The following is a 24,775-nucleotide window of genomic DNA, read 5'->3' on the forward strand; positions in this document are numbered from 1 at the left end:
GAGTGAAAAGGAATGAACAAAGCCTCCAACAAATATGGTACTATGTGAAAAGACCAAACCGGTGATTGATTGGGGTCCCTGAAAGTGATGGGGAGAATGGAACCCAGTTGGAAAACACACTTCAGGATATTATCCAGGAGAACTTCTCCAACCTAGCAAGACAAGCCACTATTCAAATTCAGGACATACAGAGAACACCACTAAAATACTCCTTGAGAAGAGCAACCCCAAGACACATAATTGTCAGATTCTCCAAGGTTGAAACAAAGGAAAAAAATGTTAAGGGCAGCCAGAGAGAAAGGTCAGGTTACCTACAAAGGGAAGTCCATCAGACTAACAATGGATATCTCTGCAGAAACCCTACAAGCCAGAAGAGAGTGGGGGCCAATATTTAACATTCTTAAAGAAGAGAATTTTCAACCCAGAATTTCATAACCAGCCAAATTAAGCTTCATGAGTGAAGGAGAAATAAAATCCTTTACAGACAAGCAAATGCTGAGGGATTCTGTCACCACTAGGCCTGCCTTACAAGAGCTCCTGAAGGAAGCACTAAATACAGAAAGGAAAAACCAGTACCAGCCACTGCAAAAAAACACCATAATATAAAGACCAACAACACTATGAGGAAACTGCCTCAACTAATGTGCAAAATAACTAGCCAGCATCATGATGACAGGATCAAATTCACACTTAACAATATTAACTTTAAATGTAAATGGACTAAATGCCCCAGTTAAAAGACACAGACTGGCAAATTGGATAAAGAGTCAAGACCCATCAGTGTGCTGTATTCAGGAGTCCCATCTCACATGCAAAGACACACATAGGCTCAAAATAAAGGGATGGAGGAATATTTACCAAGCAAACGAAGAGCAAAAAAAAAAAAAAAAAAAAAAAAAAAAAAAAAAAGCAGGGGTTGCAATTCTAGTCTCTGATAAAACAGACTTTAAACCAACAAAGATCAAAAAAGACAAAGACGTTACATAATGGTAAAGGGATCAATGCAACAAGAAGAGCTAACTATCCTAAATATATATGCACCCAATACAGGAGCATCCAGATTCATAAAGCAAGTTCTTAGAGATCTACAAAGAGACTTAGACTCTCACACAATAATAGTGGGAGAGTTTAACACCCCACTGTCAATATTAGATCAATGAGACAGAAAATTAACAAGGATATTCAGAACTTGAACTCAGCTCTGGACTAAGCGGACCTAATGGACATCTACAGAACTCTCCACCCCAAATCAACAGAATATACATTCTTCTCAGCACCATATAGCACTTATTCTAAAATCGACCACATAATTGGAAGTAAGGCACTCCTTAGCAAATGAAAAGAATGGAAATCAAAACAGTCTCTCAGGCTACAGTGCAATCAAATTAGAACTCAGGATTAAGAAACTCACTCAGAACCACACAACTACAAGGACACTGAACAACCTGCTCCTGAATGACTACTGGGTAAATAATTAAATTAAGGCAGAAATAAATAAGTTCTTTGAAACCAATGAGAATGAAGACACAACGTACCAGAATCTCTGGGACGCAGCTAAAGCAGTGTTGAGAGGGAAATTTGTAGCACCAAATGCCCACATCAGAAAGCAGGAAAGACCTAAAATCAACACCCTAACATCACAATGAAAAAAACTAGAGATTCACGGGGGGAGGAGCCAAGATGGCCGAATAGGAACAGCTCCGGTCTACAGCTCCCAGCGTGAGCGACGCAGAAGACGGGTGATTTCTGCATTTCCAACTGAGGTACCAGGTTCATCTCACTGGGGAGTGCCTGACAGTGGGTGCAGGACAGTGGGTGCAGTGCACCATGTGTGAGCCAAAGCAGGGTGAGGCATCACCTCACCCAGGAAGCACAAGGGGTCAGGGAATTCCCTTTCCTAGTCAAAGAAAGGGGTGACAGACGGCATCTGGAAAATTGGGTCACTCCCACCCTAATACTGCGCTTTTCCAATGGGCTTAACAAATGGCACACCAGGAGATTATATCCTGTGCATGACTCAGAGGGTCCTACACCCACGGAGTCTCGCTCATTGCTAGCACAGCAGTCTGAGATCAAACTGCAAGGCAGCAGCGAGCCTGGGGGAGGGGCACCCACCATTGCCGAGGCTTGAGTAGGTAAACAAAGCAGCCAGGAAGCTCGAACTGGGTGGAGCCCATCACAGCTCAAGGAGGCCTGCCTGCCTCTGTAGACTCCACCTCTGGGGGCAGGGCACAGACAAACAAAAGGCAGCAGTAACCTCTGCAGACTTAAATGTCCCTGTCTGACAGCTTTGAAGAGAGTAGTAGTTCTCCCAGCACGCAGCTTGAGATCTGAGAACGGGCAGACTGCCTCCTCAAGTGGGTCCCTGACCCCCGAGTGGCCTAACTGGGGGGAACCCCCAGTAGGGGCGGACTCACACCTCACACGGCCGGGTACTCCTCTGAGACAAAACTTCCAGAGGAACGATCAGGCAGCAGCATCTGTAGTTCACAAGTATCCGCTGTTCTGCAGCCACCACTGCTGATACCCAGGCAAACAGTGTCTGGGTGGACCTGTTTAGTGGACCTCCAGCAAACTCCAAAAGACCTGCAGCTGAGGGTCCTGACTGTTTGTTAGAAGGAAAACTAACAAACAGAAAGGGCATCCACACCAAAAACCCATCTGTACGTCACCATCATCAAAGACCAAAGGTAGATAAAACCACAAAGATGGGGAAAAAACAGAGCAGAAAAACTGGAAACTCTAAAAATCAGAGCGCCTCTCCTCCTCCAAAGGAACGCAGCTCCTCACCAGCAACGGAACAAAGCTGGACGGAGAATGACTTTGACGAGTTGAGAGAAGAAGGCTTCAGACGATCAAACTACTCTGAGCTAAAGGAGGAAGTTCGAACCCATGGCAAAGAAATTAAAAACCTTGAAAAAAAATTAGGTGAATGGCTAACTAGAATAACCAATGCAGAGCAGTCCTTAAAGGACCCGATGGAGCTGAAAACCAAGGCACGAGAACTACATGACGAATTCACAAGCCTCAGTAGCTGATTCGATCAACTGGAAGAAAGGGTATCAGTGATGGAAGATGACATGAATGAAACGAAGCGAGAAGAGAAGTTTAGAGAAAAAAGAATTAAAAGAAATGAACAAAGCCTCCAAGAAATATGGGACTATGTGAAAAGACTAAATCTACGTCTGATTGGTGTACCTGAAAGTGATGGGGAGAATGGAACCAAGCTGGAAAACACTCTGGGGAAGTTCTCCTGGATAATATCCTGCAATCTAGCAAGGCAGGCCAACACTCAAATTCAGGAAATACAGAGAACGCCAGAAAGATACTCCTCGAGAAGAGCAACTCCAAGACACATAATTGGCAGATTCACCAAAGTTGAAATGAAGGAAAAAATGTTAAGGGCAGCCAGAGAGAAAAGTCGGGTTACCCACAAAGGGAAGCCCATCAGACTAACAGCTGATCTCTTGGCAGAAACTCTACAAGCCAGAAGAGAGTGGGGGCCAATATTCAACATTCTCAAAGAAAAGAATTTTCAACCAGAATTTCATATCCAGCCAAACTAAGCTTCATAAGTGAAGGAGAAACAAAATCCTTTACAGACAAGCAAATGCTGAGAGATTTTGTCACCACCAGGCCTGCCCTAAAAGAGCTCCTGAAGAAAGCACTAAACATGGAAAAAACAACCGGTACCAGCCACTGCAAAAACAGGCCAAATTGTAAAGACCATCGAGGCTAGGAAGAAACTGCATCAACTAACGAGCAAAATAACCAGCTAACATCATAATGACAGGATCAAATTCACATATAACAATATTAACCTTAAATGTAAATGGGCTAAATGCTCCAATTAAAAGACACAGAGTGGCAAATTGGATAAACAGTCAAGACCCATCAGTGTGCTGTATTCAGGAAACCTATCTCACGTGCAGAGACACACATAGGCTCAAAATTAAGGGATGGAGGAAGATCTACCAAGCAAATGACAAACAAAAAAATGCAGGAGTTGCAATCCTAGTCTCTGATAAAACAGACTTTAAACCAACAAAGATCAAAAGAGACAAAGAAAGCCGTTACATAATGGTAAAGGGATCAACTCAACAAGAAGAGCTAACTATCCTAAACATATATGCACCCAATACAGGAGCACCCAGATTCATAAAGCAAGTCCTTAGTGACCTACAAAGAGACTTAGACTCCCACACAATAATAATGGGAGACTTTAACACCCCACTGTCAACATTAGACAGATCAATGAGACAGAAAGTTAACAAGGATATCCAGGAATTGAACTCAGCTCTGCACCAAGTGGACCTAACAGACATCTACAGAACTCTCCACCCCAAATCAACAGAATATACATTCTTTTCAGCACCACACCACACCTATTCCAAAATTGACCACATAATTGGAAGTAAAGCACTCCTCAGCAAATGTAAAAGAACAGAAATTATAACAAACTGTCTCTCAGACCACAGTGCAATCAAACTAGAACTCAGGATTAAGAAATTCACTCAAAACTGCTCAACTACATGGAAACTGAACAACCTGCTCCTGAATGACGACTGGGTACATAATGAAATGAAGGCAGAAATAAAGATGTTCTTTGAAACCAATGAGAACAAAGACACAACATACCAGAATCTCTGGGACACATTCAAAGCAGTGTGTAGAGGGAAATTTATAGCACTAAATGCCCACAAGAGAAAGCAGGAAAGATCCAAAATTGACACCCTAACATCACAATTAAAAGAACTAGAGAAGCAAGAGCAAACACATTCAAAAGCTAGCAGAAGGCAAGAAGTAACTAAAATCAGAGCAGAACTGAAGGAAATAGAGACACAAAAAACCCTTCAAAAAAATCAATGAATCCAGGAGCTGGTTTTTTGAAAAGATCAACAAAATTGATAGACCGCTAGCAAGACTAATAAAGAAGAAAAGAGAGAAGAATCAAATAGATGCAATAAAAAATGATAAAGGGGATATCACCACTGATCCCACAGAAATACAAACTACCATCAGAGAATACTATAAACACCTCTACGTGAATAAACTAGAAAATCTAGAAGAAATGGATAAATTCCTTGACACATACACTCTCCCAAGACTAAACCAGGAAGAAGTTGAATCTCTGAATAGACCAATAACAGGCTCTGAAATTGTGGCAATAATCAATAGCTTACCAACCAAAAATAGTCCAGGACCAGATGGATTCACAGCCGAATTCTACCAGAGGTACAAAGGAGGAGCTGGTACCATTCCTTCTGAAACTATTCCAATCAACACAAAAAGAGGGAATCCTCCCTAACTCATTTTATGAGGCCAGCATCATCCTGATAGCAAAGCCTGGCAGAGACACAACCAAAAAAGAGAATTTTAGACCAATATCCTTGATGAACATTGATGCAAAAATCCTCAATAAAATATTGGCAAACCGAATCCAGCAGCACATCAAAAAGCTTATCCACCATGATCAAGTGGGCTTCATCCTGGGATGCAAGGCTGGTTCAACATATGAAAATCAATAAACGTAATCCAGCATATAAACAGAACCAAAGACAAAAACGACATGATTATCTCAATAGATGCAGAAAAGGCCTTTGACACAATTCAACAACGCCTTCATGCTAAAAACTCTCAATAAATTAGGTACTGAGGGGACGTATCTCAGAATAATAAGAGCTATCTGTGACAAACCCACAGCCAATATCATACTGAACGGACAAAAACTGGAAGCATTCCCTTTGAAAACTGGTACAAGACAGGGATGCCCTCTCACCACTCCTATTCAACATAGTGTTGGAAGTTCTGGCCAGGGCAATCAGGCAGGAGAAGGAAATAAAGGGTATTCAATTAGGAAAACAGGAAGTCAAATTGTCCCTGTTTGCAGATGACATGACGGTATATCTAGAAAACCTCATCGTCTCAGCCCAAAATCTCCTTAAGCTGATAGGCAACTTCAGCAAAGTCTCAGGATACAAAATCAATGTGCAAAAATCACAAGCATTCTTATACACCAATAACAGACAAACAGAGAGCCAAATCATGAGTGAACTCCCATTCACAATTGCTTCAAAGAGAATAAAATACCTAGGAATCCAACTTACAAGGGATGTGAAGGACCTCTTCAAGGAGAACTATAAACCACTGCTCAATGAAATAAAAGAGGATACAAACAAATGGAAGAACATTCCATGCTCATGGGTAGGAAGAATCAATATCGTGAAAATGGCCATACTGCCCAAGGTAATTTATAGATTCAATGCCATCCCCATCAAGCTACCAATGACTTTCTTCACAGAATTGGAAGAAACTACTTTAAAGTTCATATGGAACCAAAAAAGAGCCCGCATTGCCAAGTCAATCCTAAGCCAAAAGAACAAAGCTGGAGGCATCATGCTACCTGACTTCAAACCATACTACAAGGCTACAGTAACCAAAACAGCATGGTACTGGTACCAAAACAGAGATATAGACCAATGGAACAGAACAGAGCCCTCAGAAATAATGCCGCATATCTACAACCATCTGATCTTTGACAAACCTGACAAAAACAAGCAATGGGGAAAGGATTCCCTATTTAATAAATGGTGCTGGGAAAACTGGCTAGCCATATGTAGAAAGCTGAAACTGGATCCCTTCCTTACACCTTATACAAAAATTAATTCAAGATGGATTAAAGATTTACATGTTTGACCTAAAACCGTAAAAACCCTAGAAGAAAACCTAGGCAATACCATTCAGGACATAGGCATGGGCAAGGACTTCATGTCTAAAACACCAAAAGCAATGGCAACAAAAGACAAAATTGACAAATGGGATCTAATTAAACTAAAGAGCTTCTGCACAGCAAAAGAAACTACCATCAGAGTGAACAGGCAACCTACAGAATGGGAGAAAATTTTCGCAACCTACTCATCTGACAAAGGGCTAATAACCAGAATCTACAATGAACTCAAACAAATTTACAAGAAAAAAACAAACAACCCCATCAAAAAGTGGGCAAAGGATATGAACAGACACTTCTCAAAAGAAGACATTTATGCAGCCAAAAAACACATGAAAAAATGCTCACCATCACTGGCCATCAGAGAAATGCAAATCAAAACCACAATGAGATACCATCTCACACCAGTTAGAATGGCGATCATTAAAAAGTCAGGAAACAACAGGTGCTGGAGAGGATGTGGAGAAATAGGAACACTTTTACACTGTTGGTGGGACTGTAAACTAGTTCAACCATTGTGGAAGTCAGTGTGGCGATTCCTCGGGGATCTAGAACTAGAAATACCATTTGACCCAGCCATCCCATTACTGGGTATATACCCAAAGGACTATAAATCATGCTGCTATAAAGACACATGCACACGTATGTTTATTGCGGCACTATTCACAATAGCAAAGACTTGGAACCAACCCAAATGTCCAACAATGATAGACTGGATTAAGAAAATGTGACACATATACACCATGGAATACTATGCAGCCATAAAAAATGATGAGTTCATGTCCTTTGTAGGGACATGGATGAAATTGGAAATCATCATTCTCAGTAACTATCGCAAGGACAAAAAACCAAACACGGCATATTCTCACTCATAGGTGGGAATTGAACAATGAGAACACATGGACACAGGAAGGGGAACATCACACACCAGGGACTCTTGTGGGGTAGGGGAGGGGGGAGGGATAGCATTAGGAGATATACCTAATGCTAAATGATGATTTAATGGGTGCAGCACACCAACATGGCACATGTATACATATGTAACAAACCTGTATGTTGTGCACATGTACCCTAAAACTTAAAAGAATAATAATAATACAAAATAAATAAAAATAAATTGTACATCAAGTAAAAAAATTAAAAAACTAGAGAAGCAAGAGCGAACAAATTCAAAAGCTAGCAGAAGACAAAAAATAACTAAGATCAGAGCAGAAATGAAGGAGATAGACACACGAAAAACCCTTCAAAGAACCAGAGAGTGACTTTCAATTGAAGGACAGAGCCATACCAAGGTGACCTTACAGGGAAACAGCTGGGAGAGTAAATACCTAATTTCACTCTTCCCTGTCTCTGATCTACAGCCCAGCTAGAAGCCAGGAGGAGCAGACACCCTGCTGATGGAGCCCAACAAGGTCAGCCTCCCATGTCTGAGAGAAGAATGGATTCTGGTTCTGGAGGAGCAGTCAAAAGATATCGGCAAAAACTCTGTCACAGTATTGGCCACTTTAAAAAATAGATATATTCCATACTTCTGCAGTGAGATGGGCTGAAAATATATTTGAAGCTGTTATATGAAAAGCCACAAAACCTTTCCTAGCTCCAGCTCCCTGGTTGTAGTTTCATGACTGTGGTTCATATGTTTTATTTTTAAATTCCCTTTTCTATTACTGTTTTAAAATGTACTTTGTCTAAGATATGTATTAAAGGGCCATATTTTAGGAAAGTCCATAAGGAGACCTTCTTTGAGAAATGACATATCCCTTTTTCTTTAACCATCACTCTCATCCCCTCTTTGGCTATGACATTTCCATTGTTAGCAGTTGGTAGGAACCAGGCCAAGGATCACAAGGAGCCAGGAATTGCTGAGCTGACTGAACTGCCTTTATTCCCCGGCTTTGGAGCACCTGGATCAACCATACACATTTACTGCTGCTTCTGATGATGTGTTTTTACACTGAATGCATTTTTCATGTTGTTTGTTAAAGATATGCAGGGAGAGTAACTCAGATGATTCTAATAACATGATTATATTGAGATAGGACTAAGGGAGAATTTTGGTGTTTGCAAAGAAATTATTTTTAAGTTCTCTTTTTTTTTCCTGTAGAAAGATGTTGTGTCCCTCCTGGTGAGCGCTGTCCCAGTGCACCCGATAATGGCGAAGAAAATGTGGTAAGGCATTATTTCCTTTATCAAACCATATACAGTATAAAAATGCTTCTTTAAAAGGGTAATTGAAGTTCTGACTGATTCACATATCATCAAGCAAGACTTTTATACAGAAAAAAACAGCAGCAGGGGTTGCAGGATAATATAGCACGAAAAATATAATTAGGCTTTTCCCAATGTCTATAATTAAACAGGCTCTACTTGCTTAAATACATGGTTGTTCTTCTTGTCTCCTATTGTTATTTGTAGAGAAGATCTCCAATGGCATTGTGCATATGAGGGTGAGCCAATGTACTTATTCTTATGATAGAAGCATGAAACATGGGATTGTATACAAGTGGAAAGAAACACAACTATAATTCACTTGCAAATTATAGTTTGATTGTATACTTCCTTTTTACTGCATTCCTTTTAGTATTTATGTGTTCCATTAATCAGAGTATAAATAAGGGCCAGGAGTGTGGTAAACTTGTTTTTTCCACTGTTAAAAACCATGAAACAGCTAGTAGGGAGATTAAAATTAACTGATAAGACTCAGACTTATTTTATAATGGTCTCATGGATCTTTAATTTCAGATGCAAGCAATAGACTAAAGCTTTTTGCCGCCCACCCCAAAACACTACTATCAATAAATATTTAAGATATAAATGGTTATTCTGACTTGAACAACAGACATTTAGAGTCTATTTTTCTTGCTTCTAGCCTCTTTCAGGAAAAGTATAGGAAATGAGAGAAGACTGTGACAACTCATGACCTGCATCCTTAATATCCAGTGACTTCATCTCCCCTTTCTTCACCACAATTCCAGGCAATGGCCTGTCGGAGCAGACAATTCTACCACTGCAAAGAGTTGTAACCATTTTCTGGTATCACATTTATTTTTCAAGACATACTTTTCAAGACATCATTCACTGACCCACTACCTGCATTGAGTATAAATGCCTGGATGTTAAGGATTCCAATTTAACTTTGAAAAGAACTGTCTCATTCATTTACATTTCTGTTACAGTCAGCCCAGGAGGTTACAGTGAGCTCTCCACTAAGAATCTGGAAGAAATGCATCACTAGGGGTTGATTCCCAATCTGATCAACTGATAATGGGTGAGAGAGCAGGTAAGAGCCAAAGTCACCTTAGTGGAAAGGTTAAAAACCAGAGCCTGGAAACCAAGATGATTGATTTGACAAGGTATTTTAGTCTAGTTTTATATGAACGGTTGTATCAGGGTAACCAACTCGATTTGGGATGAATCTTAGGGCACCAAAGACTAAGACAGTATCTTTAAGATTGCTAGGGAAAAGGGCCCTATGTGTCAGGCCTCTGAGCCCAAGCCAAGCATCGCATCCCCTGTGATTTGCACGTATACATCCAGATGGCCTAAAGTAACTGAAGATCCACAAAAGAAGTAAAAATAGCCTTAACTGATGACATTCCACCATTGTGATTTGTTCCTGCCCCACCCTAACTGATCAATGTACTTTGTAATCTCCCCCACCCTTAAGAAGGTACTTTGTAATCTTCCCCACCCTTAAGAAGGTTCTTTGTAATTCTCCCCACCCTTGAGAATGTACTTTGTGAGATCCACCCTGCCCACAAAACATTGCTCTTAACTTCACCGCCTAACCCAAAACCTATAAGAACTAATGATAATCCATCACCCTTCGCTGACTCTCTTTTCGGACTCAGCCCACCTGCACCCAGGTGAAATAAACAGCTTTATTGCTCACACAAAGCCTGTTTGGTGGTCTCTTCACATGGATGCACATGAAACTATGAACATAAGAATCTCTGAAGTTAGGTTACACTTGACCACACAAGGCTTGCATAGTTGAGTGACTAGCCATGAAGATAATTTAAACAACTCTTCTGGCTCAATTGGCATATTGCTAATCAATCTTCTAATAAATTTAGATTTTCATATAAATTTTTAAGCAAGAGAAGGGAGAACTCAGCTAACCTAATCTGTTTCCCTTAATTTTAGTCATCAATTTACATAAAAGAAACAGTCTAATGTTAATGCTTGTGAACTTGTCACTATAACCAGGCTTTTGTGTGACTTAGTAGATCAAGGTTTCAACTCTATAAGAGAAAGCAAATTCTGAATTGTGGTGTAACTGCCACCTGGTCCAATTTTATCTGACCTCAGTTTCACAATCCTCTCCTTGTATGTAGTTAACTCTGTTTTTGCTACAATGTTGTGATGGGTTATCACAAATAGCAAAGTATTAAGAATTCCAGTCAGAATGTTAATTATTAAAAAGTCAAACAATAGATGCTGGCAAGGCTGTGGAGAAACAGGAATGCCTTTACACTCTTGGTGGGAATGTAAATTAGTTCAACCATTGTGGAAGACTGTGTGGCGATTCCTCAAGGATCTAGAAACAGAAATACCATTTGAACCAGCAATCCCATTACTGGGTATATACCCAAAGGATTATAAATCATTCTACTATAAAGACACATGCACATGTATGTTTATTGCACTATTTACAATAGTAAAGACATGGAACCAACCCGAATACCCATCAATGGTAGACTGGATAAAGAAAATGTGATACAAACACCATGGAATACTATGCAGCCATGAAAAGGAATGAGATCATGTCCTTTGCATGGACATGGATGAAGCTGGAAGCCATCATTATCAGCAAACTAACACAGGAACAGAAAACCAAACCACATGTTCTCACTCATAAGTGGGAGCTGAACAAGGAGAACACATGGACACAGGGAGGGGAACAACACACACCAGGGCCTGTTGCAGGGTGGGGGGCGGGGGAGGGAACCTAGAGGACGGTTCAATAGGTACAGCAAACCACCATGGCACACATATACCTATGTAACAAACCTGCATGTTCTGCACGTGTATCCCAGAACTTACTTAAAGTAAATTTTTTTTAAAAAAATAAATATAACTTAGATATCTTTTAAAAAAATTCCATTGTGAAGAAAAACTCCATTGAGATAATATTTGTCTACCATCTCTGCTTCCCCCTAGCCTTGGTTCCTTTTTAAAAATTGTGTCCTAGTGAGAGAACATGATACTTAATAACAAAACTGGATGCATCCCCAAGCTGAAGTTTTACTTTACTGAGTATGTGCCTGGGGTGTGGAGAAACAATAGCATCCTAACTTCAGGATTGGTAATATGACAACAGCAAATTTCTAAGAAAAGGTTTGGGATATAGAGATGTTTCCTGAATATAAACATTGGCTTATTAAAGGATAATTCCAAACATTTTTTACTGAAGTTTTAAAAAATTACTATTCCAGGAAAAAAAAAAAACCCTAGAAAAGTTCCATGTTAAATGTTTCATGTTGTTTTCTCATTGCGTTAAGACCGATGGTAAGAAGGAGCGACTGCTTTGGATACAGCCCGACACACATACCTGCTAGTTCACTCTGTGGCTGTGCATCCCTCTCCGCCAACCACAAAACTCAAATTTGGTTCACCTTGCTCAAAATGGTACCCTGATTTTTCAAGAGCATCCACTTTGATCTGTCTGAGCCAACCCTGACAATTGCAGTCCTCTTGCCACTAGACTGGTTCAGCATAAGCAGATAAAGAAATCTGCTCACTAGGGTATGAGGAAAATTATTCCAGAGGTCTGTTTCTGGGAAAGTGTTTCTCCATTTTAAGAAGAGACAGGTTATCGTATGGGGAGAAAATGCTCAGGACTGCTGAAGTCCTCTTACGGCGACAAGAGATTCCGACAAGAATGAACCTGGGTCCTCTGATACCACTGAGTCCCTGAATTAATCGTCAAGCTACCCATATGAGTCAGGGTTGGATCAGGGAGGCAGAATCAGAGAATGACAGAATAAAGATTTATTATAGAGCTTCAGCCTTACACAATTGTGGGTGCTGGTGGAGAAGTCTAGGCCAGGCTGTTCCCTCTGCATCTGGTTCTGGGCCTGAAGTCACTGTAGGTCGACTGTGAATGCAGCAAGGATGAAGGGAAGTCCATAAGAACAAACAGAACCCATGTCTGTCTCACGGCCTCCACTGCAATGCTGTGTGTGATCTCAGGAAAAGCTGATGCTGGTTGCCATGGAGCTGCACACACACCTGGCCAGTACTTTGCAAAGCTGAAGGAGGAGGCTGGCAGGAGCTGGAAGAGCTCTGGGTCCAGGGAGCTGTCTCTGGTCTCTTCTAGCTCCCCTTTTTGGCCTGGAGTCATATTTTCAAGCTGTCACCATGCTTGGGTCTGTACACTGACCTTATGAGTATAAAATAGCTGCTGATCAAATTAATGCAAATTTCTTTATGACCTACTCCAATCCAGAACCATGAGAGAGAGGAATTCCGGGACATGTTCCTCCAGCTGAGCCAAATCGGTACTGCACAAATCCAGCATATTACCTGTCACTGAATGTCTCGTGTGGGGTTACCTCCATGTTTAAAGCATGTACCAGCATATAGCCTACATGTGTGTTGATTAGGAGAGTTTTGCCTACATGTTCAAATTGCCTAACTATAGCTATATTTATATCACAATGCTGAGGAGATCTTATGACTTCCATTCTACCACTGCTGGCTCACAATATACATTCATAGATTTAGGGGTGAATCAAGCCAAAGTTGCCTAACTTTAGTAAAAACCATTCACCAACATGCCCTAGTCCCCATGAAGCGTGACTGGTCTAAGGACATCTTCTATGAGTCCTACCCATTAAGAGGAAATATGGACAAAGGATCAAGTATTTATTCATTTTTTAAACATCAGAATTGAAAAGGTTCTTCCATTTATTTAATCTGTCATGTGAAGCATTAGAAGGTAGTTTACTTGCATTTGAGGATCAAAAAATCCCCATTAACTGTGGAAGCAATGATATTCCCTTTAATTATTTTTCTAATTGCCTTGTTTATATGGTGTGAAAAGCAATTTAAACATGTTTTTAAAAATGTTTCCATGCAACCTAAGTTTTTGGCCATGAAACAGCACCTTCCTTGTACTTCTCCAGCTGTTGTCCTTTCAAAGCAGGGGATGCTATTCTTCTTGAACCTGAAAAACAGAATGTCAGTGTGTTCTGTGAATTTCCTGTGATTTTCACCAGTGGAACACATGTCCAGAACCAAGCTGAGTCCCTTCCAGAGGTAAGCAGGCCTTAGCCAACTCTTCATTAACTTCAAAGGGAGGCAGGGAATTGAGGCAATTATCTGCATTACAGAAAGCAGACCCTGGTAATTCACCCCAAGGGCATGCTCGGTCACTCTCAATTTTCTGCCTGCCTTGTCTTGCCAATGAAGGCAGCGCCCCCCTTTGCCAACCCCATAAGGAGAAAGATTCTGCAGCCACATCACCAGTTTGCTCCCCAGCCCTGACACAGAATTCTATCAGCAAACCTCTTCCTTGTGCATATGACAGTTGAGGATTTTTTGGCTTTTCTTCTGTGAAGGGGAAACAATTAGTCATTGCACTGCCAAGGAAGGTTTTCCTATTCCTCTCTGGCCTCTCAAAAGCAATTTCTACTTCACTCACTCTGTTCTTTGTTGAAAATAACTGTGACAAAGTCGAATGCATGGCATCTGTTTTGAAGGCCCTTCAACCTCCTGCAGCTGAATGCAATTGCAGCACATGGGAAGCACCTCCCTAAACAAGTCATTACATGGGGTTGCTGGTGGGCTCTGCAGAGAAGACCCTAAATCCAGTGCCACAACACTTCTCAAATTGAGGCCAAAGTTCAAACCACTTAATTGCCCCTCTCGCATAGGACTTATCCTTGAGGCAGCTATTCAGGCATCAGTAAAAAATTTCTGGAGTCTCTCAATGATTCATATTTCTTATATTTAGATCTAAGTATATTCAATATAACCAACTCTTAGGCTCTCCTTCAAAAGAGATGCTTTTGACCTCCCTTAAGGTAGTATTTATGCATATTATTGGCAACCCTATCAACTTACCTTGCAGGGTTACTAGTAATTCAGTTAGGGCCTGGATTCATTTGTATAAAATAATCAGGAGTCCATGGAACAAAGATGATTTTAAAAAGCACAGATGGATCGGCTCAAAATTTGGAGTGAACTCTTTCCATAGTAGACACATGTGTGACTTTTTACCATGTCAATATGGAGTCCAAGAGGGAAGACGTTTAAGATTGAGGCAGTGAAGGAAAACAAATGCAAGAGTCTTGCTTTGTAGTTCTCTGCTTTATATTCCTGATTCTGCCCGAAAACACAGAGAAAGAGGGCTGGTGATGCACCACGTTTAAAAAAAAAATAATAATAATGAAATGATGGTGCCTAACTATGCCAGAAGCTATGCTCAGTGATTTCAGGCAATCTATTAGCTAATACCACATTATCCAATCTCCTTTGATTCCTTTCGCCTAAAGCCAGACCTCGTTTAAAAACTGTGTGTTCCTGGGAAAATTTCAACAAGGAAGCCAAGACTACCTGACCCTACCAAACATTTAGTACATTGTTCTTTGTCACTCTACCAGTAAAATCAGGGCAATGGCCTCTACCATTAGATTAGAAGAGCCATTTTGTGGACCAAAGAGACATAGAAAGATCCTTTCTCTGTGTTTTTGGGCAGAATCAGGAATATAAAGCAGAGAACTACAAAGCAAGACTCTGGTATTTGTTTTCCTTCACTGCCTCAATTTTAAACATCTTCCCTCTTGGACTCCAAATTGATATGGTACAAAGTCACGTATGTGTCTACTGTGGAAAGAGTTCATTCTGAATTTTGAGCCGATCCATCTGTGCTTTTTAAAATCAACTTTGTTCCATGGACTCCTGACTACTTTACACTAATGAATCCAGGCCCTAAATCTTAGATCCTGCAAGTTAACATGGAAGTAAGCATTTGAAAAGTATAAATACAATGTGCATGTCACTCAAATGCTTAGCATTTCATCTACCAGGACAAGTATAATTTAGCAAACATGGGAAGATTTTATTGGAACCCTTTGTTCTTATCTTTTAAAAGCTTTTAAGGAGAAAAACAAATTTCTTGTTATACTGGTCCATGCAATGACATCAGCCCTAAACAAACATGATTAAAGAGTTAGAACAGAGTTGAATATCTGCCATACCTTTTTCCCAAACTCTCTTGCTTTAATTTTGAGTTTATTGACTTGAGATTCTGCCACCTCTGCCCTTTCCTTCACTTCATTCAACTCATGTTGCTGTTTCTTATACTTGGAAAGGTATTGATTGGCTTGTGTTTCCTATAAAAATAAAAAAAAAAAAAAAGAAATCTCCATGCCTATATAGTCAGGTGTTTTTTTTTTCTGCTCTGACATGAGAAAGTTGAATAATGTGAAAAGAATCTAAACTTCTGAGTATTGAATGGGATATCATATTTTGGTATGATATATTAGGATTCAGACTTTCTAGCAGGTATAAGATCCATTTTTTTATAACTTTTGTTCCTTGGAAATTCAGAACCTAGTTGGCACTTTTCATCAACTGGATGCAGTAAAGCTCTCACAGACTGAAAATGTGCTAGAATAACCACAGTTGTCTATTTTGTCATGAGTTTAACATCCTATTCTACCCCTGGGTAGAGGGGGCTTGTCTTTAAAATTATATGGGTCAACAGGTAATTATTAGACCTTGGGCTAGAACAGGTAGTGTTTTAGGCCAAATCATTGAAATAATCAAAACCCCTCAAGAGTTAATATTAGGGATAAATCAATATATATGACACTTATCAATTACATTCCCTGTAGTTATAGATACTGACCCAGGGATGGCAAGTACATTTCAATTTATGGTGGTTTTGTCCACAACCATATCCAGGATCATCAAGAACAAATACTGTGAACCATGTTTATGTTTACCCAAGGTTTTGGGATGAGGGAGGCCCCAGGGTGACTACCTTGCCCAAAACTGGCCTTCCCTACGTGACACTCTGCTTTTACCTATCTCATTTCTTGTTGTGTACCTGTTTGGGTGCAACCACAAAGGTAAAGGAGAGAGCTCTGGCTTCCTGGAGGGAAAAGCCACGCACATTTTTGCCATGGGTGAGAATTCTAACTTGAGAAAAAAAACTGAGGATGAGCAGACTCTAAGCTGAGCAGGTCCTCTCTGACAAGCTGCTTGCTGAGCTCAGGGTCACAGATCTCCCTTAATCAAAACAACACTGGGAAATCCATGAGGCTGAAACTTCCCCAGGCACTCACCGCCACCTCGACTTGCTGCTTGTAATTTTGCACTTTTAGCTGAAGTTTATCCATCTGAGTTTGCATCCTGCTCAGATTCTTCTTGTCTTCCTCTGCCTGCAATACATAGGCATGTATGGGAAGGTGATTCAGAGGATCCAGCAGTCTACGTTGGTGTAGTCTCATGTGGGGAAATAAGGATCAGGGAACTTTATTAAACATCATCTCAGAGTTGTGATTTTAACAATGGGTTTAACTCACCCAAGTTCCAAGAAATTGATAAATAGAACTGTCAGTACTAACAGTCATTTGTCCTGATCCATCAACCTTTGCTGAAATGGGAGTTAAACCCATTAGGTTCAGTTTGGGTCTTCAGTCTTTCCAGCTCAACCAAGCTATATCTGCCTGAAGCTATATCTGTATACTTAAAATTAGTAGTGAATTATCTACTGTTATATTTTACTTTAAGGTGGTGGTAGTGGGGGTGCATTCAGATGACGAAAACAGCAATAGCTTTAGCTATAGCTAAATAAAAAGCTGTATCTTTATTTAGCAGGAATGAAGTGCATTATTATAAAAGCCACATATGCAAAACTGAAAACCAATTGCTCCCCAATCAAAACAACTATTCCTTTGAACTTTCTAATTGACTCTTGGTTTTGAGTAATAGAACTATAGAAAAGATAAATTTTCTGGAATTCTGATGCGGAGATAGCAAGGAAGATTCTACAAGCTGTGGGGACCATGGTGTGCCCATTCTCATTGCCTCAATTACAATCCAGCCTCGGGCTGAAGAAAGGAAATCTGGTGGGATAATGTTTCTCAACTGTGCTCTGCAGAGCCTTTGGTATTCCAGAGAGAGAGGAGGCTAGAGGCAGGCAGGTAGATAGGGGTCTGCCTGCCCCCTCTTTCCTCATGCCCCTTTAACTGGAATATTTCCATATTGGAGCTATTGTACTTTTCAAAGGAAGAAAATATCTCAATTTGCTCAGGGTTGAGAAGCTGATTTAATCAAGAAAGATCTACTACTGCTTAAAATTGTTTTCTGGCTCCATTTGACCTATTCCATCAAGTATGAACTTTTTTGGCAGCTTTAATGTTCCCCCTACTTACCTTCCATTCCCCCCACCACCACGAACCCACTCCAACCAGGTCACATTCTCCTGTTTCCCCAGAGCTCCCCTGCTCACTCTGTCCTCCTTAGGTTTAGCCAAGCTATTCTCATCATCTGGAATGCTCCCCCGCCACACACACCACCACCTTAAAGTACCATGTAAAAGTAGATATTAATAATTACTAATTTTAACCATCAGGAGGCAGGGATGAATATATATGAAAGAACCTAGTTGGGGAACTGAGACAAGTCTGGTTCAAATAAAATCCCTTCTTTGTTTTTATCTGCCTATCCCTCAACTTGTCAGGTTTATAAAATTCAAAAGACTCATAGCATTATGTGCTTACAGTAAATTATAAAATCAACACAGGTTTAATTGCTAATAATCAGTTTACTGAGAAGAGAGTAAATTGGTCATAAAGGAGGCCACACAGAAGAAAACTGAAAAAAGCTAGAAGTGGTTGCTGATGTTACTGATGTCCCTCCCACATGGGAAGGCAAAGCCATTGATGTTAGGCCTAGGTTCCCATCTCAGCTCTAGGGCATTGAGTAACTGGTGACCATGACTATGCACGTCCTAGATTTCCTATCAAGAAAAGAACTTGACATTCAGCTGTGAGAAGTGCAGTTACCTGATAACCTCCAACTGCAGTGCCTTTGGGACCCGCCACAGCATTAGCATTGAGGCCACACACTTCCCAGGCAGCCCCCAGGCAATAGCTGGGCATAGTGAAGTCACTAGTGTCTGGCCATTTCTGCCCAACATGGGAGTCCTTTCTGGGCAATCTTTGTGCTGGAGACTTGCCCAGAGCTGCACTATAGTCTGACGCTCTTCCCTTCTCCTCTTCCTCCCTCAGCCTCTCCCTTCACGTCTCTGCCCCATCCTGCTTGCTTGCATCTTCATCCTTCATAGATGTTACTTCTAATAGATCTCTTGTACATCTAACTCTATCCTGGCATTTGGTTCCTAGAGAACCCTCTCAACACAGCAACTTAACCAAATTGTATTTCCTTATCCCTAAAAATGATACTACATTCTTGACTAGATGTGTAAAGATTAAATAATATCTATACAGATTCCTGGATGTAGGAGGCAGTTGATGGTAGAACCGAGTAGATGGGTGGAGAGTGAGGGGCAGAGGAACTATCTTGACCTTCTATAGCAGTTACAAGTACCTAATCTTATGTTCTGCTTTATAGCACATTTTTCTAGGTGCTGGAGAGAGAAAATAGGACAAGTTTCCAAATGCTAAGGGGATATAAAGGAGAAGATAAATGCAGCATGGGGACCAGCCATAGAACTGTCATGGAGTGGGACCACACTTGACTCCTTTCCAGTAGCAGAATCTTCCCAGAGGACTTTTCCTAAGAAAATGATATTTGTGTCCCTTTCAAAATGACATTTTTAATTGCACCTAGGAATGGGCTATCACCAAACACCCTGCCTCCTTGTCCTGGTGGTTATTTTGATGATTGAGATGACTCAGCGTTAACCTTGAACACTTCAAAACCAAGTACCAGGAAATGTGGAGTGTCCTCTAATGTCTTTTTAAACTTACAGGGTCTAGCCTAATGATATTAGCTGATTTGATGGCAGAAAATAGGCCTATCTAAGCATTCTGCAGACACTTGGAAGAAATTAATAAATGTACCTCATTCTAGTACATGAGAAACACTAGGATTATTACAATGAAGAAACAAAGGTAAGACACGATAGAACAAGAATGCATTCCTTGGGACAATGAAAACCAAAAAAATATATAACTTTGGTTTTTTGTTCCATAATGAAGTTGTTTACAGAATAAAACAATAAGAAGAATCAATGGGAAAATAAAAAGGAAAATCCAGACATTAAAGCAGCATTTCATGTCATCAACATGGGTGGCTTCTCCACCTTCCTCAAAGTAGAATAGCAAACTTTTAAGTTCCCAAGGTGTTTACCTACTTAGCCACACATACCATGGGCCCACTTCTCAGTGGCTTTGATATACCTAGCATGGTCTAAAGAAGTGTCAGACTAACTCATCTTACAAAAGGAACCGCTTAATAATAAAAGAGCTGTGCAAGTAGCTTGTTTCATCTTAATTAGCCCAAGATGATGCTTCTGAAGTGCTGTGCTTTCTTATCTATCCTTCCTGCTGCAAGGGAAGAAGACTTTGACATCTTTAACAACTCAGCCTCAGGAACCAGAATCAGGAGTAGCAGATCTTGCATTGGCATTGTCAAAGAAGCTGTAAAAATGGGTGCCTAAAATAAATTTGCCTTTGTATTGGAATAAGCTGTCATGTGCAATGTGAGAGGGCTGGGATAAGCTATCATGTGCAGTGTGAGATAGCTTACTGTCCAGTGTGAGATAGCTGGAACAAGCTATCATGTGCAGTGTGAGAGGGCTGGAAAGTGACTTTTAGCATCTGTGTTCAACAGTGGAAATCACACATCTACTGTGTGATAGGAGGATGCCAGACCCTGGAGGGGAGAAAAATACAGTGCCTCTGCCATCAGAGAATCTATGTTGACTGCATTAGAAGGAAAAGGGAAGCAATGGTTGAAAGTGAAAATGTAGATGATGATATTTTTACTTTAGAAATGCATTAGTCACTTGTAAGAAGTCTGCCCACCTCTTTTCAATTATTGCTTGAGACCAATGTTAGTCAACAGGTTAGATTCAGAAAGCTTCAGAGGTCTCTCTTTAGTATTTTGTTTCCACCTGGCACCAGCAACAGTGTCCTCAGTGGCCTTGAGTGTTTGCGCAACCAGAAAATAGGAGTGGAAATGCCCCCCGCTGCAATTGAATCAGCATCCCATGTAACCTGCCAGCTGGGTAGCCACCCCGAGCCTCTGCCATTAACTTCATTTACACATTGTTCTCACTCAGCCACTCACAGGAAGGCATCTTTATGAAAGCACTGCAAACACTATGTGTGAAAAAATCCAGATGGTATAAATAGCTTTTCACTTCTAATTGCAACTTGCCCCTCACATTTTGTTTCCTGAGAGCTCTGAAAAGAGACCGATCCAAACCACTAATAGCACAGGAGCTCTGGGAGGGTGAGTCAGTGTCTACTGCTGAAGGAGAACAAAGATGAAGAGAGAACGGCAGGAGTCCCAGAAGGCCATTTCAGGCTTGAAGGAGTACTTTTCTGCAGGGTAGTGCCCAGCCAGACAAACAGGGAATGGTTTCCTGGAGTACCTGATAGGTCAGCTCTTTGATGCATCGCTCAAGTCTGCGGGCTCCCCTCTGGGCCTCTGCACTGCGACGGATTTCACCCTCCAGTTCACCTTCCAGTTCACGAACCTGCAACCAAAACGTGACCTCAGACCAGACGCTGCCACCAAGTCTGGCATTCTATTTGCTGATTGGCACAATCATTTGAAAGACAGCAAAGTGTCAAGGGAACATGCACACACTGTTTTTGGTGCTTAAACAGGACAGTGTCTCTGGGAAAACTCTCTCGCCAAAAGTAAGATCTTTTATGGATTCATAAAAGAACTATTTAGACTGAAATATGTGAAAGGCTAATTCACACAGATATGAGAAGCTTTTTTCTTGAATTACAAAACCACACCCAAAGTGTATGTATGAATGTATATGTAAGTATAGAGAGTAAGCAATGTGTAGCCCATTTGAGGATTTGGTCAACATACTACCTAATCTTAAGCTGCTTTCCCTATGTTCAGCTCTGACTCTCTAAAGAAATCAGATGCTGAGTTTATGTCACATGTATGTCACCCACAACCCTCCAGTCCTGCTTGAGCTGCCTGCTGCCTTATAGAGTTACACAAATGAGCTTAACATTCATTCAATGCAGGTGCCTGCTACATACCACACCCCAGTGCTAGCAATACAGCAGTGAACAAAACAAACAAAAATCTCTTCCCTGAATTAGCATACGTTCTAATGAGGGGAAGCAGACAGACAAAACAAAGTAAAATGTAGGCTATGTTGATGGAGATAAGTGCCATAGAGAGAAATAAGGCAGGAGAGGGAGTAGGGAGTTGATGTTGGCTGCTCCCCCTGCCTAGGGGGCTCTTACCCAGATATCCTCTTTTCCTGCCTTCTCCTTGACGCCAATGCCACCTTCTCCAAGGGGCCTTCTTGAGAACGGGAAGGCCAGTGCCCTGAGGCAAGAATGTGCCTAGCACATCTGACCCCACCTCTTACTCCCCACTGGAGCCATTCTTCCCTCCTGTACCTCCTCAGAGAGGTGCAACGTGAAGGGAGGGGAGCAAGTGTGAGACTTCCTTGTGGATAAAGCCCATTTAAAGCAATCTTCTGACACCTGCTATATAGGAACCTGACACACAGTTCTGTCTGTCGGGATGTGAGCTCTTACAGGCCCCTCTACTTTTTTTAAGCACTCCTTAAGAATTTTGGGGGGGGATTAAAGTGATTAAAACACCTTGGGGAAAAACTGCTCTACTAAAGCAAATCCTAGACATTATGTAATTCCACCTGTAAATACTATTGGATATCATTCTAATAGGTAATGATGGTATCATGGTTGTGTCTTTAAGAATATTAACCATAATTCCTTAGTATTATCTGATATTAAGGAGTTCATTGCTGGTCGTTGCTACTGAGTTATCACTGGTTCTAGGCCATAATAGTGAACAAACAGCAATTGGAAATAAAACCTGGCAATCTTAAAACTGAGTTGGAAAAACCAGTTTCATGTATTTTTTAGGGGAAAAATGCATACTTTTAAATTTTATACCTATATGCCGTTTCTCTTATACCAAAAATCTTGGTTCTTATATATGTCATTGGATAAACTTACTGCTAATAGCAATTAAATGTTGGTATTTTGAAGTTATAAATGCATGGTTTTTGCCATTCTTTTGTTATTTTGTCCTTATATTGAGGGATGTATGGACAAAACATTATGTTTAAAAGTCACTGAGAATAATTCTTACTTGTGTATGTTTAATGCCCCCAATTTAATATATCATTAACTTCATTTGCTTCCATTGGTGTTAAAATTTTAGAGACTGCTGAGTTTTTTTCTTTGACTTAAACTTGTTTTTTTAATTATAAAGTATGCAAATGATTTATATGATTTTCCAATCAAAACAACTAAACAAGGTACATTAGGAGGGTCCAACTGTCATCTCTGTGTTATCCTCTCATAGATAGCCATTTTTATTTTTCTGATTTATCCTGTTACCATTTCATTTTGAAAATATAAGCAAATGTGTACACCTTCATATTCTCCCACTTTCTTGAACAAAAGGGTATATACGCTTTCCACATTGCCCTCACTGTATGACTGTATGGAGGTACCCGAAATGGACATGGGTATTCCATTGTATGGATATACCATAAACATGCAAAGGTGATACCTTATTTTTTAGAGGCCCTTTTGAACAATTGAATCCTAGTTGAATATTCTTTCCATTCTTGTAGCATTTATCATATGCCTTGTCTGTAGTCATTAAAATTGATTCAATAATTTTACAAATCTTATTTTCAAGATGCTATTACTCATTTTTAAGCTCCCTGAAGGCAGATACTACATCATTTCTGTCAGTCCTTACTGTATCTTCTCTAAGTCTTTCTTGATCATTGATTTAGTTGTTTTCTCTCTCCTTTCTCTGGCTGTCAGAAAATGGGCATTCTCTGCAGAGGAATTAACGGGAGAAAAGGCACAGAAACAAGACTGCCAGGGGTGTGTTTGGAAACACCAGGTAGCCTTGGAGTGAGAGCCTGGAGCTGGTGAGGTGAGCAAGAAGGGCTGCAATGTTAGTTAGCAAGAGGGAAGGCAGATTTCATCCAGTCCAAGGAAAGTCCTATGTGCTCACCCAAAGTCAAGCAAAGAATGAATGCATATATTGAGATCTGACACTCTTAAATATCTGAAAGTACTAAAAGCAAAAGTGATAAAGGGTATGTGTGTTGGGGGGCAGATCTAGTGTCACATTCCAGGACAAAGAGGTCTTGAATTGGGGACTGTCAAGCCCTCATGATTACCCAGACTCCTACCCTGGATTCTAGTTTCTGGATTTGCTTTCTACTCCCCATCAGGGCCATCTGTTCAGCTTCAGCCAGCCTTTTCTGTAAGTCTGTAATTGTCTGCTCCATATTTTCTCTTGTCCTTTCCAAGTGGGCAATGGTGTCTTGCTTCTTCTTCAGTTCTTCTGACAAGTTTGCTGCCTAGGGGGTTAAAAAAAGGGACTGAGCTAGTTCAGCAGTCAATTGATCTTAACATTTTTACCCATGATCTTTAGTTCCTGGTCTGACTGGCTGCCACGCCTTGCCTCTATGTATGTGATCTCTTCCCATTATAATCTCCCTAACCACTACCACCCTCGAGTTTGTTAACAGTAAGGCAATAGAGACAGCAGTAGCTACAGGAGAGAACAGGGTAAGGAGTGGTGGAAACAGACTAAAGATGAAGAAACATATGAACATTATTATGCAACACCTGTATTAAAATAAAGATGACCAACTGAAGCAATGGCTTTTAATTGAATAAAGCACTGGGATGACTGATTATTGAATAAAGTAACCGGTGTCACATTAATGCACCAGGAAAGATATGGAGAAGTGCCTACAAAAATCTTTTCACATCTCACTTCTATAATTCTGTGATTCACTACACAAACAAGTTTGGCTCCAGGAATTTGGCAGTAACAGATGCTCTCACTGCCAATAATCTG

At 40.6% G+C, this 24,775-nt stretch overlaps 2 protein-coding genes and 1 long non-coding RNA gene across 17 annotated transcripts in view, besides 4 other annotated features; 2 read left to right on the forward strand and 1 right to left on the reverse strand.

Annotated features, from left to right (window-relative positions):
- Positions 1-10,624, forward strand: part of HHLA2 (HHLA2 member of B7 family) — an 81,738-nt gene extending 71,114 nt beyond the window's left edge. For 7 of the 14 annotated variants that reach the window (XM_005247080.4, XM_011512367.4, NM_001282559.2 and 4 more), the window contains 3 exons: positions 8,089-8,139; positions 8,832-8,896; positions 9,597-10,624. In XM_005247080.4, coding sequence (XP_005247137.1) covers positions 8,089-8,139; positions 8,832-8,896; positions 9,597-9,617 — 137 coding nt within the window. In that variant the 3' untranslated portion in view covers positions 9,618-10,624. Of the gene's footprint in view, positions 1-8,088; positions 8,140-8,831 lie in introns of all 14 variants that reach the window. The other 7 variants (XM_047447369.1, XM_011512362.3, XM_011512364.3 and 4 more) reach the window with 2 other exon arrangements.
- Positions 9,128-10,327: an enhancer, noted in NCBI's record as "CDK7 strongly-dependent group 2 enhancer chr3:108095636-108096835 (GRCh37/hg19 assembly coordinates)". NCBI's record gives its function as "activates an origin of replication core promoter dependent on BRD2, BRD4, P300/CBP, MED14 and CDK7 cofactors, with strong dependence on CDK7, by STARR-seq in HCT116 cells {active_cell/tissue: HCT116}" and the evidence as "EXISTENCE:reporter gene assay evidence [ECO:0000049][PMID:35650434]".
- Positions 10,625-12,706: 2,082 nt separating the features above from the next.
- MYH15 (myosin heavy chain 15) overlaps positions 12,707-24,775 on the reverse strand; it is a 170,705-nt gene continuing 158,636 nt past the window's right edge. For both annotated transcript variants that reach the window (XM_011512559.3, NM_014981.3), the window contains 5 exons: positions 24,099-24,269; positions 21,309-21,413; positions 17,026-17,121; positions 15,934-16,068; positions 12,707-13,898 (listed from right to left, as the gene is read on the reverse strand). In XM_011512559.3, coding sequence (XP_011510861.1) covers positions 13,884-13,898; positions 15,934-16,068; positions 17,026-17,121; positions 21,309-21,413; positions 24,099-24,269 — 522 coding nt within the window. In that variant the 3' untranslated portion in view covers positions 12,707-13,883. The remainder of the gene's footprint in view (positions 13,899-15,933; positions 16,069-17,025; positions 17,122-21,308; positions 21,414-24,098; positions 24,270-24,775) is intronic.
- On the forward strand, positions 13,879-20,393 carry LOC124900545 (uncharacterized). The gene is made up of 2 exons (XR_007095998.1): positions 13,879-13,990; positions 19,319-20,393. It is a non-coding gene; the product is annotated as an uncharacterized LOC124900545 (long non-coding RNA).
- Positions 18,541-18,835: a silencer, noted in NCBI's record as "tiled region #5857; HepG2 Repressive non-DNase unmatched - State 24:Quies, and K562 Repressive DNase matched - State 24:Quies". NCBI's record gives its function as "represses a minimal TATA promoter and a strong SV40 promoter by Sharpr-MPRA in HepG2 and K562 cells {active_cell/tissue: HepG2 | K562}" and the evidence as "EXISTENCE:reporter gene assay evidence [ECO:0000049][PMID:27701403]".
- Positions 20,383-20,432: an enhancer, noted in NCBI's record as "active region_20218". NCBI's record gives its function as "activates an Ori minimal core promoter by ATAC-STARR-seq in GM12878 lymphoblastoid cells {active_cell/tissue: GM12878}" and the evidence as "EXISTENCE:reporter gene assay evidence [ECO:0000049][PMID:35858748]".
- Positions 21,293-21,502: an enhancer, noted in NCBI's record as "active region_20219". NCBI's record gives its function as "activates an Ori minimal core promoter by ATAC-STARR-seq in GM12878 lymphoblastoid cells {active_cell/tissue: GM12878}" and the evidence as "EXISTENCE:reporter gene assay evidence [ECO:0000049][PMID:35858748]".

This window comes from Homo sapiens, chromosome 3 (genome assembly GCF_000001405.40).
Source record: "Homo sapiens chromosome 3, GRCh38.p14 Primary Assembly".
NCBI lineage: Eukaryota > Metazoa > Chordata > Mammalia > Primates > Hominidae > Homo > Homo sapiens.